Source organism: Homo sapiens, chromosome 11 (genome assembly GCF_000001405.40).
Source record: "Homo sapiens chromosome 11, GRCh38.p14 Primary Assembly".
NCBI classification, from domain to species: Eukaryota; Metazoa; Chordata; class Mammalia; order Primates; family Hominidae; genus Homo; species Homo sapiens.
The window spans coordinates 10,324,649-10,340,707 of NC_000011.10; the positions used below are offsets into that span (position 1 = coordinate 10,324,649).

The following is a 16,059-nucleotide window of genomic DNA, read 5'->3' on the forward strand; positions in this document are numbered from 1 at the left end:
GACCATGTTTATGCTTCATGTATTTTCTTGTTTATGTCCCCGTTGTTCTCCCTCAGTATTTTGTAAAGGCTTTGGAAAAGTTCCAGCCTATCTCAGCTATGTGAAGAAGAGTTCAGGGAAGGAGTTTGTATAACACTAAAGAAATGTCAGTATCTCCTCACAGGTAGGGGCTGACATGATGCCACGGCAATGGGAAATGAAGTGGGAAACCCGAAGCAGGAAGGAAAACTCAGGAGAACTGGGTTGGGATAGTGGTTTCAGCTTCTCCTCGCCTCCTAAAGAGTCTCTTGATAGTTCTCAGGCCTTGAAGGTTCTGCCTGCCCCCAGGTTCCCCACCCCAGGAAAATAAGCAACTTCTCAGGAGAATAATGAGGTTGGTGTTTACCTTTGTGCTTCATTTGAGTAGCATGAGAGCACCCCATTCCTCACATCTGTTCATTCTTCTCCCCTTAGAAATCTTGTCTCAGCTGAAAGGTCAGAGCTAGAAGCCCCAATCTGCTTCTAGCTCTGACCTTCTGGCTTTGTCAGGAATCCCTATGAATTTGTGCTGTTGATTTTCTTTGAACTAAATACAGAAATGTGTCTGCACTCTGGGATAGAGAAGAGAGTATAGTAATTGCCAGGAGAACTGAAGATGACCTTAAGGCAGGCCAGGTGACTGGTAAACCATACCCTTCACAAGGCTACCAGAGCTCTAGCCTGACCAATATTATTTTGAAAGGGAATACATTAGAATCCCTGGTGACTAGATGAACATGGCCATCACTATTTCTACAAACCTGTCTTCTGATGAACATATACTCCTGCTGGATGGTGTCAAGACATGCTTGTTTCTTGAGTGGTTTAGATACCAGTTATTGCCCCTCCTGTTATGCCTGGTAACTAGGATGCTGTCAAGAAAATACAGCAGGACTTCATTGAGCTTAAAAAGAGCGTTTCAAAAATATTGCATTAGCCTTTTGTCCTTTCAGTCTGTTTTTCATAGAACAAATGTAATCTTAGTCGCTACAAATTTGTTTAAAATAGCTCTTCTGGTGAGTCACCTAAAGTTAACTGCAGATATGGTATTGTTTTAGCCATGTCAAGCTTGAAATGTTATCCAAGTCCTAGGAACTACTCACTATGGGAAGCTGATGATGTATGTGCCCTCACACGTGTTTTGAGGGTGATCCTATAATGTCCGGAGAGAAAGAAATGCCTGAGATGAACTGGTCAGCATTACATTTCTCAGAACGGGCTGCAAGAGCTTCAGAAGCAAAAGGAGTGTTCTCTGTAGGCTCAGATGCTCACATGACCCAAGACACGTGAAGGGTCTGCCCATCATTCACCCCTCTATCCCCACAAGTGGTCAGAAAGTTAGGAAAATCTCCAAGAGACCATGCAGAAGGGTCAAAGGATCTTGCAGATGTTCTGAGCAAAAAAATGAAAACTTTAAACAGAACATTGTGCCATGACTTGAAAAGGTCATTATCTAGTTCACACTTACATCAGACTATAAATATTGTCAGAAAAATGGATATGTTTGCCAGGACCATGAACAGTAAAATTGCTTAAAATAGGCCACAGAAACCCTCAAGGCCAGTGGGGCCATGGCAGGCCATGACACTCAAACCTGATGCTGCCTTGTGAGAGACCTCAGCAGGAACAAAAGCCAACAGCTGCTTATTGGAAAATTTATACTCAGTGGCCCTCAAAAATTGCAAAAGCCTTTCAAGTCATGTAAGTTAATTTTGTCTCACTCTTCCACCAGGTAGAAGTGAGACAGGGAGACTCATGCTCCTTAAATGAGGTCCCTTGTCAAAGACTAGCTGTCTTATGGCCTTTGAATACTCTGCCCTTCCCCCTTCCTATGGTATAGCTTTGTGTCCAGTTAGCACTGAGCAGAAGCTGCTCTCCTGCTGTCCCCACCCACTGTTGGCTAAAGCCAGGTCACCTCCTGCCAGGCAGCGGCTGGGTGAAAGTCCAGAGAAGCTCTCCTGAATAAACAAGTCAAACAAAGGCAGTTCCCAGCAGTGGATGGGGCTGTACTCCAGAAGTCTATTTGCAAATCTGTCCTTTAGAACTCGGAAGACATTCCCCAGGAGGAGCAATGTTATGCAGTGTGGCAAGGTTCCCAGGCTAGCCCACACCTCTGATTTAACCCAGAATGGGCTGGGGAAACAGTGCTCTAGAACTCATCATTATGGGTAATACCTTTGTAGTCTCTGCTCTTCAGTTTACAAATAGTTGCTGAGCTAGGCATGGTTCCAGGTGATGTGAAGGTTCAAAGCTGCCTCAGCTTTGTGGAGTAGGTAGATTCAGTAGCTCCTGGGTGCACAGTGGCTGAGATTTTCCCAGTCTCATGAAATCCCTGCTTCTCTTTCCTATCTACATGTTTTAGGCTGAAAGTGAAGGGATGACCATTCCGGCTTTTCTTTGGTTTGTTTCTTCAAGATAACCTGGTGTAGGGAAGGGTGAGAGTCCTGGCTCTATCATTACACACAGCAGCATCTCCAAGCTTCAGTTTCTCCTCTGAAAAATAGGATAATATGTAGCTAAGAGAGCCTTGGAGTTGCCTCCCCAGCCCTTGTTCTTCTCTTGGTAACTACCATGACTTTTGTTAGGGTATCCACATCTCCCCCAATAGACCACTCCACTCCTGAAGACTCAGGCCTAGTGCAATTCCATTTTAAGGCCACTATTACAGGACCCAGTGATGGGTGCTGGCCTAATTCAGGCCAGTGAGCTTGCATAAGTTTATTGGCTTATTTCCAGAAAAACAAATTTCCTTTTTCCTGCTAGATAAGAATGGGACACATATGTGGTCTCACTAGCAATTCAGGCCAATGAGTTTGCATAAGTTTACTGGCTTATTTCCAGAAAAACAAGTTCCCTTTCTCCTGCTAGATAAAAGTGGGAGACATATGCAGTCTCAGCAGCAATAGAAAGCCACTCTGAGACTAAAACAGGGGCAAGCCCTAGATGGAAGCTCTCATTGTGAATGGCAGAGTGGAGTGATGGAAAATAGAACTCCCTGATAAAGTTGTTGAACTCCTAAATGGACCCATCCTCAATCCTGTCATACTTCTATTGTATAAACCAATCATCTCCTTCACTTAGTAACCCATAGTGAGTTGAGCTTTCTGCTCCTTTTAATGGAAGCCATCTTAATTAATACATTATAGCACAGGATTTACTATGGGCATTAAATGGGATATAGCATTCACAGTATCTGTCTCATGCTGAAAAAAGAAAAAAAATTCATAGTATTTAGCACAGAATTTATATATGACCCCTGCCCTTCCAGTCCAAGGGCATTAATGGAAAAGACCATAGTTTCTCAGGCCTTTGTTGGATAGGGAAGAAGAGGGCATGTGTGGACTCCAACACGACCTTAACCTGGTTTGAGGCTTGAATATCTTGCCTGGGCTAGAAAGGTGGCCCCTCTGGACTGGCTTTAATTTTAGGATCAGTCCCTTTAGAGGGAGTAGATCTTGTAAGCTGGGGTTTCCCTAGCCCTTGGCAAGTATACATGTTGAAGAGGGTTGGGAGACAAAGAGGGAAGAAAGGAGAGAACCATGACTTGCTGGTGTAATAACAAAAGGTCCTACCTATCTTTGGGATCGAGATTAATCTCTCCTGTCTTTCTTCTTTTTCCTCCTTTCTTCCTTACATTTTTTCGCACTCCCAGTTCTCATTAGGGCTGAAGAAGAAAGGGAAGTCAAAGCTGGGATGGCAAAGGAGTGGAAGTATATGCCAGAGGGAGAAAGGGGAACTTGTGTAAGCTAATTCTGATGACTTTGCATTCAAGTGTAGCACAGATCTCAGTTTTCAGACTAAATGGTAGCTTTAGACTCCTATCGGAGGTTGGCAAGGCTGGTTTCTTGGAGTTTTTGCATGAAGAACAGGAAACTAGGCAGAGCAGCCTGGTTCAAGGACAAAGGGTTATGTTATGACTAATAGGAAGGAGGAATCATTTGGAGTACACACAGTGGCTGTAAGTCAGATTTCGGTCATTTCATTACCCCCAGATTTAGCCTAAGTCACCAGGGAGAGGAGACTGCAATAAAAGAAAAATTAACAAAAAGCTGACATGACTGAAATCTGAAGGAACTTGATTCACATGACATTACTGCTTTGCAGTTGTGCTGTATTACAAGGGTAGAGCTCATTTGTCCTAGTGTTAGCATACTGCACTTGAGAGTATGCTAGAACACAGGATGGAAAAGGAGTGTGAGAAAACATTACTTCACAAAAGTGGGTCAAGGGTGCCATGTTCCAACTGTGAAATGGATGCTTAGAAATGAAAATAGAACTCCAGTGTGGTCTGACCAGAACAGGATTGAGCTGCCACCCTCTTATCGGGACACTAGATTTATGGCTGTGGTCAAGAATTGCCCTAATCTTGTTTTTATCAGTCACATTCCAATAATGCCTCATAATGAATCCATGGTCAATTAAAAGCCCAGTTGTTTTTTACATGAACTGCTGCCAAGTCAGGAATCCCTGTGAATTTGTGTTGTTGATTTTCTTTGAACCAAATACAGAACTTTACAATGATTCTTCTTGAAAGTCATGCTGGTCAGATTATTTTGCATCTTGCTTATTTTGTCTATTAGCTATTACTCTAAACTTTGTGCTTACCTTCTTCATCATTTAAGACACGTATAAAAATATTGACTAGGGCCAGGTGCAGTGGTTCATGCCTGTAATCCCAGCAGTTCTGAAGGCTGAGGTGGGAGGATTGCTTGAAGCCAGGAGTTTAAGACCAGCCTGGGAAAAAAAGTGAGACCCCCATCTCTACAAAAAATTAGAAATAAAATCAGTTGGGTCTGGTGATATGTGCTTGTAGTCCCAGCTACTTGGGAGGCTGAGGTAGAAGGATTGCCTGAGCCCAGGAGCTTGGGGCTGCAGTGAGCTGTGATCACTCTACTGCCCTTGTTCCAGCCTGGGTGACAGAGTGAGTGTGTGTATAGCTATTCAGTCAGTGGCCAAACCATATATATATATATATATATATATATATATTTTTTTTTTTTTTTTTTTTTTTTTTAGGCAGGATCTCACTCTGTTGCCCAGGTTGGAGTGCCGTGGCATGATCTCGGATTACTGTAGCCTCAACCTTCAGGGCTCAGGTGATCCTCCCACCTCAGCTTCCTAAGTAGCTAGGACTACAGGCACACTCCACCATGCCTGTATAATTTCTGTACTTTTAGTAGAGATGGGGTTTTGCCATATTGTCCAGGCTGGTCTTGAACTCCTGGGTTCAAGTGAACCACCTGCCTCGACCTCCCAAAGTGCTGGGATTACAGATGTGAGCTACCATGCCTGGCCTCATGGTACTTTTATACCACTTTCCCTCTCCACCTTATCCATCACTGGATCATGAGATGCATTATGTATTTTCTTTATGAAATCAAGTTACACTGACTCTAGCATTTCCACCCTGGTGGCCTGGCACTTACCCAGTATCTTGCACGTAATAGGCTCTCAATAAATGTTTGTGGAATTAAACTGAATTCTGTGAATCATCAGCATAATAAAATTTAAAAGAAGGAAATGAGGCATGATTCACTGATGAACCACTTGGGATCTCAGTGCTCTTTATATTCCTTTTCGTTGTTTTAAGTGAAAATGTCACACATTACAGGAAAATAAAATGTCAACTATGATTGACAATATACATTATGCCAACTATCATCATTATCAATACCCAAAATTATATTTTTTTCTTTTACAAAAAACATAATCATGTGCAACTTCATTTTTTAATTTAATCTATTTTGGCTACCTTTCTATTTTTCAGTAGAATTTCATTGCATGAACCTTAGTCTCTTCTAAGTGTTTAACACATTATCTGTTTAAATTCATTAGATTCTGACATAAGAATCATTTGTTTTCAAATTATGGAGTTAATCTATTCTTCTTTTTTTTTTTTCTAGACGGGGTCTTGCTCTGTTGCCTGGCTGGAGTGCAGTGGTGCTAACATGACTCACTGCACCCTTGACCTCCTGGACTCAAGTGATCCTCCCACCTCAGCCTCCCAAGTAGCTGGGACTCCAAGTGGGTGCCACTACAGCCAGTAAGTTTTTGTACTTTTTGTAGAAATAGTGTCTTACTATGTTGCCCAGGCTGATCTCAAACTCCTGAGCTCAAGCAATCCTCCCACCTTGGCCTCCCAAAGTGCTGGGATTATAGGTATGAGCCATCATGCCCAGCCTAATCCATTCTTCCTAATGTATATTAAACACCCACCATATGCCAGACCTTGCGTCAGAACATTGAGGAATTAAAAAGAAAAACTGGGCAAGGGCCTGGCCCTCCAGAGACTTGGAATCTGATAGAGGTCACAAAATAAGCACATTTATGGTGTTGGAACAAGGTTCTCTGTGTTAGAGTCTACTACAGGGGAGTGTGCCATGTGCTCTGGGGCCTTGATTAAATACAAAGGACTATAATTTTCTCTCCTGTGGGGCTCCCTGGAGCTTGGAGCAGCAGCCAAGAGATGTTCAGGCAGCTGAGACTCTCATCACAACCAAAGTTCTTCTGCCACTCTTGGACCTAGGATAGGAAAATTGATGGGCTCTCTGCCTTCAGGCAGCTCCTGCTCGGGCAGTGTGTGATAGAAGAGGAACTTACTTTGGGTGAGGGTCCACTGCCCCTTCCTTTCTTCCATGGCCATCAGGTAGGCCATGTGGTCTGACCACAGAGACCCTGACAGAGGGAGAAAGAGGAAAAGGCCAAAAAACAGAAACCATGAAGAAGCAGAAAGACTCTTAAGGTGACCTTCATGAAACCTCACCTCTGGAATTCATACCTTGGTATAATCCCCTCTCCTTGAGTGTGGATGTGGCCTGTGCCTTTTCTACCTAGCAGAATATAGTAAAGACGGTGAATTGTATGTGATTATTGATTATGCTGCGTATGATATGAATATTAGTGCTGTCTTACTGAACTGCTCTCTTGGCTTGGAGGAAGCAGATGGCTATGTTGGGAGCCCCATGTGCCAAAGAACTGTGGGCAGCCTCTAAGAGTTGAGGGTGGCCACTGGTTGACAGCCACCATGAGACTGAATCCCTGAGTCTTATTAATGCAACCACAGGAAACAGAATTCTGCCAAATGAATTCTGAGTGTGTTTGGAGCAGATCTTTCCCTAGACCAGCCTCAGATGAGATCACAGCCTTGGCTGACACCTTGATTACAACCTTGTAAGACCCTAAGCAGAAAATCCAGCTAAGTCAAACCTGTACTCCTGAACCACAGAAACTGAGATAATAAACTTGCGCTCTTTTAAGCAGTTAAGCTTGTGGTAATATGGCTAAGCAGCAATAGTTAATTAATATCCTAACAGTTAATCTCTTTTGCCTTCCATAAGAACTGCAGGAGAAAAAAATGACGTAGGGAAGGGAGATTGGAAGGGAATTCCAGCAACCTCTATGAAGAGAAGAAATTGACTAGGGAAAGGACTTTTGCTGTGAAGCTCTACCACATTTGTTCATTCATTCATTCATTCATTCATTCATTCGTTTGTTAAAGATGTTGAAGTAGAGATATGTGTATCAGCCTTCAAGAAAGGCTATTGGCATGGACTGAATTGTGTCTCCCTGTATTAGTCCGTTTTCACGCTGCTTTAAAGAACTACCTGAGACTAGGTGATTTATAGAGAAAAGAAGGTTTAATTGACTCACAGTTCTGCATGGCTGGGGAGGCCTCAGGAAACTTACAGTCATGGTGGAAAGGGAAGCAGTCACATCTGACATGGTGGCAGGAGATGGAGGGTGGGGGAAATTGCCAAACACTTTCAAACCACCAGATCTTATGAGAATTCACTATCATAAGAACAGCATGGGTGAAACTGCCCCCATGATCCATTCACTCCTACGAGGTCCCTCCCGCAACATGTAGGGGTTACAATTCGAGATGAGATTTGGGTAGGGATACAGAGCCAAACCATATCAGTCCCCAAATTCATACGTTGAAACCTTAACTCCTAACACCTCAGAATGTGATAGGGCCCTTAGTGGTTGTGGTGGCATATGCCTAAAACCCCAGCTACTTGGGAGGCTAATATGGTTAGGCTTTGTGTCCCCACTCAAATTTCATCTTGAATTGTAATTCTCAGGTGTTTAGGGAGAGACCTGGTGGGAAGTGATTGGATTACAGGGACAGTTTCCTCCATGCTGGTCTCAAGGTAGTGAGTGAATTCTCATGAGATCTGATAGTTTTATAAATGGTAGCTTTTCCTGTGCTGACACATGCTGTCTCTCGCCTACTGGCATGTCAGACGTGCTTGCTTCTCCTCCCACCAGGATTGTAAGTTTCCTGAAGCCTCCCCAGCCATGTAGAATTGTGAGTCAATTAAACCCCCTTTGTTTATAAATTACCGAGTCTCAAGCAGTTGTGTTTTTTTTTTTTTTGGAGATGGAGTCTCTGTCACCCAGACTGGAGTACAGTGGCGCAGTCTCAGCTCACTGCAACCTCCATCTCCTGGGTTCAAGCGATTCTCCTGCCTCAGCCTCCCAAGTAGCTGGGACTACAGGTGTGTGCCACCACATCTGGCTAATTTTTTTGTATTTTTAGTAGAAATGGGGTTTCAGCATGTAGCCAGGATGGTCTCGGTCTCCTGACCTCGTGATCTGCCTGCCTTGGCCTCCCAAAGTGCTGATATTACAGCCATGAGCCTCCTCACCTGGCCCAGGCAGTTCTTTATAGCAGCGTGAAAATGGACTAATACGGAGGCTGAGGTGGGAGGATCACTTGAGCCCATGAGCTGGAGGCTGCAGTGAGCTATGATCATGCCACTGCACTCCAGCCGAGGTGACAGAATGAGATCCTATCTCTAAACAAACAAACAAAAACAAAAATCTTGATAGGGCCTTTAAAGAAGAAATTTAGTTAAAATGAGGTCATTAGGATAGGCCCTAATCCAATCTGACTAGGGTCCTTATAAGAAGAGGAGATTAGGACATACAGAAAGATAACAAGAATGCACCCACACAGGGAAAGGCCATATGAGGACGGCACAAAGGCAACCATCTGCAAGCCAAGGAGAGAGGTCTCAGGAGAACCAAATCTGCTGACACCTTATTCTTGGACTTCTGGCCTCCAGAACTGTGACAAAATAAATTTCTGGTGTTTTAGCCACCCAGTCTGTGGAATTTTGTTATGGCATCTCTAGCAAACTAACACAAGTATAAAAACTACTGTAGATATTTTAAGCAGAGAAAGATTGAATATAGAAAGTTAGGTGCTTTCAAAATCATTGGAAGAGCTGGAGTAGCTGGAGTTGGGGCTGCCACTAGAACTAATGTATTTAAGAATGCACTGCCTGTGGTCTGGGGACTGTGAAGCTGATGCCTCTTCTGTTGGCTCTGCCATGGCCATCATAGCTGCCTCGTCACAATTGAGTCAGCGAAAAGCTGAGGTCAACTGCCCACCTCAGGTGCCCATGATCTCAACCGCCAGGAGGAAATGGTAGCAGGGCGATGGCCTCCATCCCAGTTATACCTTCCAAATCTCATGTGAGGGCACTTAACTGAATCTAGTATCCTAGCTGCAAAGGATCTGAAGTTTTTAACCTTCCAGCCTCTGTAGCACAGGAAGGTACAAAGAAAGGAGCGGGAAAGGACACTGAAGCACGCAGACATATCCAGCACAGTATGCTAGATATCAGATGAAAGCAAGTGCCCAATCTGTAGGTATTCAGAGTAGACACCTGAAACTGACATGATTCATTAAACTTCTCTCCTATAGCAAAGGTATCAGATGCATTAAAAAGGAGAGGATTTGTAAAGAGGATTTATTTGGAAAAGTTGTGCAGTGAGTTGTATTTGCATCAACCCTGAGGAATAAGGCTGAGTGCTTTTCCTAGCATCTCAGGTCAAGAGAGAAGGGATTAAACAGGACCACCCTGAGAACTTGTTATGTATCTCCTGCCATCGTGTGGTGGGAGGGTCCATATTGGACTTTCGTCTGGCTTCTGCCTGGAAAATTTAAAAGATGGAGATGGTTTGACTAGATGCTTGAACCTTGGGAATAAAGGGAAGATGGTTGACCTGGGCAGCTTGCTCTTCTAGAGTTTGTTGTGAGCAGAGAGTGTGTGAATGTTTAAGAGCTGTAGGATGACACAGGAGAAGTCAACTGGGAGAGGTGGGGAAGCACTGAGTTGAATAATTGAAATGTTAGCTAAGGTGAGAAGGGCAGAGTATGGCATTCTAGGTAGAGGGACCAGCATATGAAAAGGCTCAGAGGCATAAAAGGGTCTAGAATGTCCAAGGAAAAGTAAAATGTTCAGTGTGACTAGGGTGTAATTTGGAGGCATGAGAAGAATAAGAAATTCACTTGGGAAAATGTCCTAAGCAAATGCTGTTTGTCCTTTGTCCTTTGGGAACTAGGGAATTACTGTAGAGTTTTTTTTTTAATTAATATACTTTATTTTTAGAGTAGTTTTGGAAATATAGAAAAACTAAGCAAATAGTATAGAGAGTTCCCACACAGCCTCCTACTTTCCCCTATTATTAATCTCTTACATTAGCATGGTCCATTTGTCACAATTAATGAATCTATATTGATACGCTTTTTGTTGTTGTTGTTTAAGACAGAGTCTCACTCTGTCATGTAGGCTGGAGCACAGTGGCGTGATCATGGTTCACTGCAGCCTTGACCTCTCTGGCCCAAGCGATACTCCCACCTCAGCCTCCTGAGTAGCTGGGACCACAGGTATGCACTACCAAACCCAGCTAATTTTCAAATTTTTTATAGAGACTGGGTCTTGCTATGTTGCCCAGGCTGGTCTTCAACTCCTGGGCTTAAGTGATTCTCCTGCCTTGGCCTCCCGAAGTGTTGGGATTATAGGCATGAGCCACCGTGCCTGGCCTTATATTGATATGCTATTATTAACTAAAGTCCATCATTTATTCATATTTCCTTAGTTTTTGCCTAATGTTCTTTTTCTGTTCCAGAATCCTATCTGGATACTACATTTTTCACGTCTCCTTTGGCTTCTCTTGGCTGTGACAGTTTCTCAGACTTTCTTTTCTTTTTTTGATAAATTTGAAAGTTTTGAGAAGTACTGGCCAGGCATTTTGTAGGATGCCCCTTTATTGGAATTTTTCTGATGTTTTTCACGTGACAAGATTGGGGTTGTGGGTACTATGGGTTTTAAAGACCATTTGATCTGTGTTTTACAAAAGCGATATGGGGCCAATGTGGAAGGTGAACTAGTTCAAATTTATTAAGTCAGTACCCTTTCATTTTGAAGCCCTGCAATGTCTTACCTTCACCATTATTAAAGAAACAAAACAAAATAACTCACTCCTTAATGTGGCTCACACAGCTTTCCAGGATCTGGACCCAGTCTGCCTCTCTGACTTCATCCGCTGACACTCTTTTCCCTGCTCTTTACGCCAAACTTATGAGCTTCTGTTTCTTTCTCTTCTTTTTTTTTGGTTAAGAGATGGAGTCTCATCCCTGTTGTTCAGGCTGGAGTGCAGTGGCATGATTGTAGCTCACAGCAACCTCTAACTCCTGGGTTCAAGCAATCCTCCTGCCCCAGCTTCCTGAGTAGCTGGGTAGCTGGGACCACAGATGCATGCCACCATGCCCAGCTAATTAAAAAAAAAAATTCTTTTTTTTTTTTGAGACAGGGAATCTTGCTATGTTGCCCAGGCTTGTCTTCAACTTCTGGCCTCAAGTAATTCTCCTGGCCAGGTGTGGTGCCTCATGCCTGTAATCTCAGCACTTTGGGAGACTGAGGCAGGTGGATCACTTGAGCTCAGGATTCGAGACCAGCCTGAGCAACATGGTGAAACCTTGCCTATAAAAAAAGTTTTTGGCTTGGTTCTAAGTCTTTGCTATTGTGAATAGTGCCGCAATAAACATACGTGTGCATGTGTCTTTATAGGAACATGATTTATAATCCTTTGGGTATATACCCAGTAATGGGATTGCTGGGTCAAATGGTAATTCTAATTCTAGATCCCTGAGGAATCGCCACACTGACTTCCACAATGCTTGAACTAGTTTATAGTCCCACCAACAGTGTAAAAGTGTTCCTATTTCTCCACATCCTCTCCAGCACCTGTTGTTTCCTGACTTTTTAATGATCACCATTCTAACTGGTGTGAGATGGTATCTCATTGTGGTTTTGATTTGCATTTCTCTGATGGCCAGTGATGATGAGCATTTTTTCATATGTCTTTTGGCTGCATAAATGTCTTCTTTTGAGACGTGCCTGTTCATATCCTGTGCCCACTTTTTGATGGGGCTGTTTGTTTTTTTCTTGCAAATTTGTCTGAGTTTATTGCAGATTCTGGATATTAGCCCTTTGTCAGATGAGTAGATTGCAAAAATTTTCTCCCATTCTGTAGGTTGCCTGTTCACTCTGATGGTAGTTTCTTTTGCTGTGCAGAAGCTCTTTAGTTTAGTTAGATCCCATTTGTCAATTTTGGCTTTTGTTGCCATTGCTTTTGGTGTTTTAGTCATGAAGTCATTGCCCATGCCTATGTCCTGAATGGTATTGCCCAGGTTTTCTTCTAGGGTTTTTATGGTTTTAGGTCTAACATTTAAGTCTTTAATCCATCTTGAATTAATTTTTGTATAAGGTGTAAGGAAGGGATCCAGTTTCAGCTTTCTACATACGACTAGCCAGTTTTCCCAGCACCATTTATTAAATAGGGAATCATTTCCCCATTTCTTGTTTTTGTCAGGTTTGTCAAAGATCAGGTAGTTGTAGATATGCGGCATTATTTCTGAGGGCTCTGTTCTGTTCCATTGGTCTATATCTCTGTTTTGGTACCAGTACCATGCTGTTTTGGTTACTGTAGCCTTGTAGTATAGTTTGATAGACTGGATTAAGAAAATGTGGCACATATACACCATGGAATGCTATGCAGCCATAAAAAATGATGAGTTCGTGTCCTTTGTAGGGACATGGATGAAGCTGGAAACCATCATTCTCAGCAAACTATCACAAGGACAAAAAGCCAAACACCGCATATTCTCACTTATAGGTGGGAATTGAACAATGAGAACACATGGACACAGGAAGGGGAACATCACACACCGGGGCCTGTTGTGGGGTGGGGAGAGGTGGGAGGGATAGCATTAGGAGATATACCTAATGTTAAATGATGAGTTAATGGGTGCAGCACACCAACATGGCACATGTATACATGCGCAACTAACCTGCACGTTGTGCACATGTACCCTAAAACTTAAAGTATAATAAAAAAAATTTTTAAATTAGCCTGGTGTGGTGGCCTTTATTTCCAGCTACTTGAGGGGCTGAGATGGAAGAATCACCTGAGCCCAGGAGGCTGAGGCTGCGGTGAGCTGTGATCTGGTCACTGCACTCCAGCCTGAATGATGGTGTGAGACCCTGTCACAAAAACAAAAATGAAACAAAACAAAACAAAAGATTCTCCTGCCTTGGCCTCCCAAAGTGCTGGGATTACAGTGAGCCATGGCATCCAGCCCTCTGTTTCTATTTCTTGAAGATGCTAATAGTCCAGGTAGAAGATGATTAGGTTAGAGGAGGAGGAACAGATTAGAAAATATATATGTGGTAGAATTGACAGGATTTTGCTGATTGGATCTATGATATTAAAAAGAGAGAGAATTTGAGCACAGTTCTGAGATTTGTAGTTCAAATGACTTGATCAACAGTTGTGCCATTTACTGAGATGGGGAATACAGGAGTTTGGAGGGGGAACATAATGAGATCACCATGACATACTGAGTTTGATTTGTCTATGGGGTATTGAGGTGTTCTTGTCCAGCAGGAAGTTGGAAATCATGAGTCTTAAGTTCAGGAGGGATGTTGGAATAAGTGTAATTGGCAAACAAGAGATTGTGGCAGGGGCTGTGATTATTAATTCAACTGGGATAAACCCAAGGGCCATATTTGCAGTAATTCAAACCCTTGGCAGTAAACAGTTGAATGTGAACTTCAGGTCAGCAGAGAAATTAAATTTATTTTGGAGACTATCAGGCAAGAGGAGGCCAGGACTTTGGGGAGGATTTTGTGGTCTTTCTACTCTCCAGGCTTAAAACTAAATGCTGCTTCTTTTCTACCAGAATGAAACTCTGAGACTTAAAAAGGCTGCTATATTAAACAATTAACATAGCCTCAGAAAAAGTAACAGAGAGATTTGGGGCTTGGGCAGAATGACATAAACAGAAAATAGAGTATTAGATAGGCCAGGTTATGATGAAATTATTCCCAGGTATGTTGTTTCTGTAAGGCCTTTTCTTTTCTTTTTTAAAGACAGGGTCTTACTCTGTTGCCCAGGCTTCAATGCAGTTGTACAATCATAGCTCACTGCAGCTTCAAACTCCTGGGCTCAAGCAATCCTGCCCCACCTTCCCAAAGTGATGGGATTACAGACATGAGCCACCATGCTTAGGCAGTTTCCTTATGCTGTAGTCCTTATGCCACTATATTTACATTTTTTGGTTTTTTTTGAGACAAGGTCTGTCACCCAGGCTGGAGTGCAGTGGTTCTGGTGCTATCTCAGCTCACCACAACCTCCGCCTCCCAGGCTTAAGTGATCCTCCCACCTCAGCCTCCTGTGTAGCTAGAACTACAGGTGTGCACCACTGCACCCAGCTAGTTCTTTTATTTTTTTGTGGAAATGGGGTGTTACTATGTTGCCCAGGCTGGTTTCAAACTCCTGGGCTCAACCAATCCACCTGCCTTGTCCTCCAAAAGTGCTGGGATTATAGGTGTGAGCCACTGCGTCCAGCCTATATTTACATTAAAAAAAATTACAAAAGTAGTACATTCATGGATGGCAGATGCTGTGGACTGGCTCACTCAATAACCGTCCCAACTGCCTTCTCTGTTGACTTTTTCTATTATAGAGGCTGTAAACAACACACACAAATTCCCAGACTTCATCACAATCTAAGACAGCTGTGTAATATAGTGTGGTAAGTAAGCAGATGTCCCTGAGGTGGGCTTCCATTTCTGAATAAAAAGGCAAAGACTTGGGGTTTCTTCCAAGATGGCTGAATAGGAACAGCTCCAGTGTGCAGCTCCCAGCAAGATCGATGCAGAAGACGGGTGATTTCTGCATTTCCAACTGAGGTAGCTGGTTAATTTCATTGGGACTGGTTAGACAGTGGGTGCAGCCTATGGAGGGAGAGCCAAACCAGGGTGGGACGTTGCCTCACCCAGGAAGCACAAGGGGTCGGGGGATTTCCTTTTCCTAGCCAAGGGAAGCCGTGACAGACTGTACCTGGAAAACTGGTACACTCTGCCCAAATACTGCGCTTTTCCCACGGTCTTAGCAACTGACAGACCAGGAGATTCCCTCCTGTTCCTGGCTTGGCAGGTCCCATGCCCACAGAGCCTTGCTCACTGCTAGTGCAGCAGTCTGAGATCGACCTGCAAGGCTGAAGCCTGGTGGGGATAGGGGTGTCCACCATCGCTGAGGCTTGAGTAGGTAAACAAAGTGGCTGGGAAGCTTGAACTGGGTGGAGCCCACTGCAGCTCAGCAAGGCCTACTGCCTCTATAAACTCCACCTCTGTGGGCAGGGCATAGCTGAACAAAAGGCAGCAGACAACTTCTGCAGACTTAAACATCCCTGTCTGACAGCTCTGAAGAGAGCAGTGGTTCTCCCAGCGTGGTGTTCGAGCTCTGAGAACAGACAGACTGCCTCCTCAAGTGGCTCCCTGACCCCATGTAGCCTGACCTCCCAGTAAGGGCTGACAGACACCTCATACAGGTGGGTGCCCTTCTGGGATGAAGCTTCCAGAGGAAGGATCAGGCAGCAATATTTGCTGTTCTGCAATATTTGCTGTTCTGTAGCCTCCACTGGTGATACTCAGGAAAACAGGGTCTGGAGTAGACCTCCAGCAAACTCGAACATACCTGCAGCTGAGGGTCCTGACTGTTAGAAGAAAAACTAACAAACAGAAAGAAACAGCATCAACATCAACAAAAAGGACATCCACACCAAAATCCCATCTGTAGGTCACCAACATCAAAGACCAAAGGTAGATAAAACCACAAAGATGGGGAGAAACAGAGCAGAAAAGCTGAAAATTCCAAAAACCAGAATGCCTCTACTCTTCC

The 16,059-nt window shown here is 43.6% G+C and overlaps 1 long non-coding RNA gene across 1 annotated transcript in view, besides 3 other annotated features; it reads left to right on the forward strand.

The window, feature by feature from the left end:
• The window catches only part of CAND1.11 (uncharacterized LOC100130460), a 122,361-nt gene that overhangs the window by 16,336 nt on the left and 89,966 nt on the right, over nucleotides 1-16,059 (forward strand). Inside the window, exon 2 of the long non-coding RNA NR_103765.1 lies at nucleotides 5,922-6,061. This is a non-coding gene — a long non-coding RNA (uncharacterized LOC100130460). The remainder of the gene's footprint in view (nucleotides 1-5,921; nucleotides 6,062-16,059) is intronic.
• Nucleotides 4,074-4,368: a silencer, noted in NCBI's record as "tiled region #6386; K562 Repressive non-DNase unmatched - State 22:ReprW". NCBI's record gives its function as "represses a minimal TATA promoter and a strong SV40 promoter by Sharpr-MPRA in K562 cells {active_cell/tissue: K562}" and the evidence as "EXISTENCE:reporter gene assay evidence [ECO:0000049][PMID:27701403]".
• Nucleotides 14,843-15,343: an enhancer, noted in NCBI's record as "H3K27ac hESC enhancer chr11:10361038-10361538 (GRCh37/hg19 assembly coordinates)". NCBI's record gives its function as "activates a minimal SCP1, AML or CMV promoter by ChIP-STARR-seq in naive H9 embryonic stem cells {active_cell/tissue: H9 hESC(naive)}" and the evidence as "EXISTENCE:reporter gene assay evidence [ECO:0000049][PMID:30033119]".
• Nucleotides 15,344-15,844: an enhancer, noted in NCBI's record as "H3K27ac hESC enhancer chr11:10361539-10362039 (GRCh37/hg19 assembly coordinates)". NCBI's record gives its function as "activates a minimal SCP1, AML or CMV promoter by ChIP-STARR-seq in naive H9 embryonic stem cells {active_cell/tissue: H9 hESC(naive)}" and the evidence as "EXISTENCE:reporter gene assay evidence [ECO:0000049][PMID:30033119]".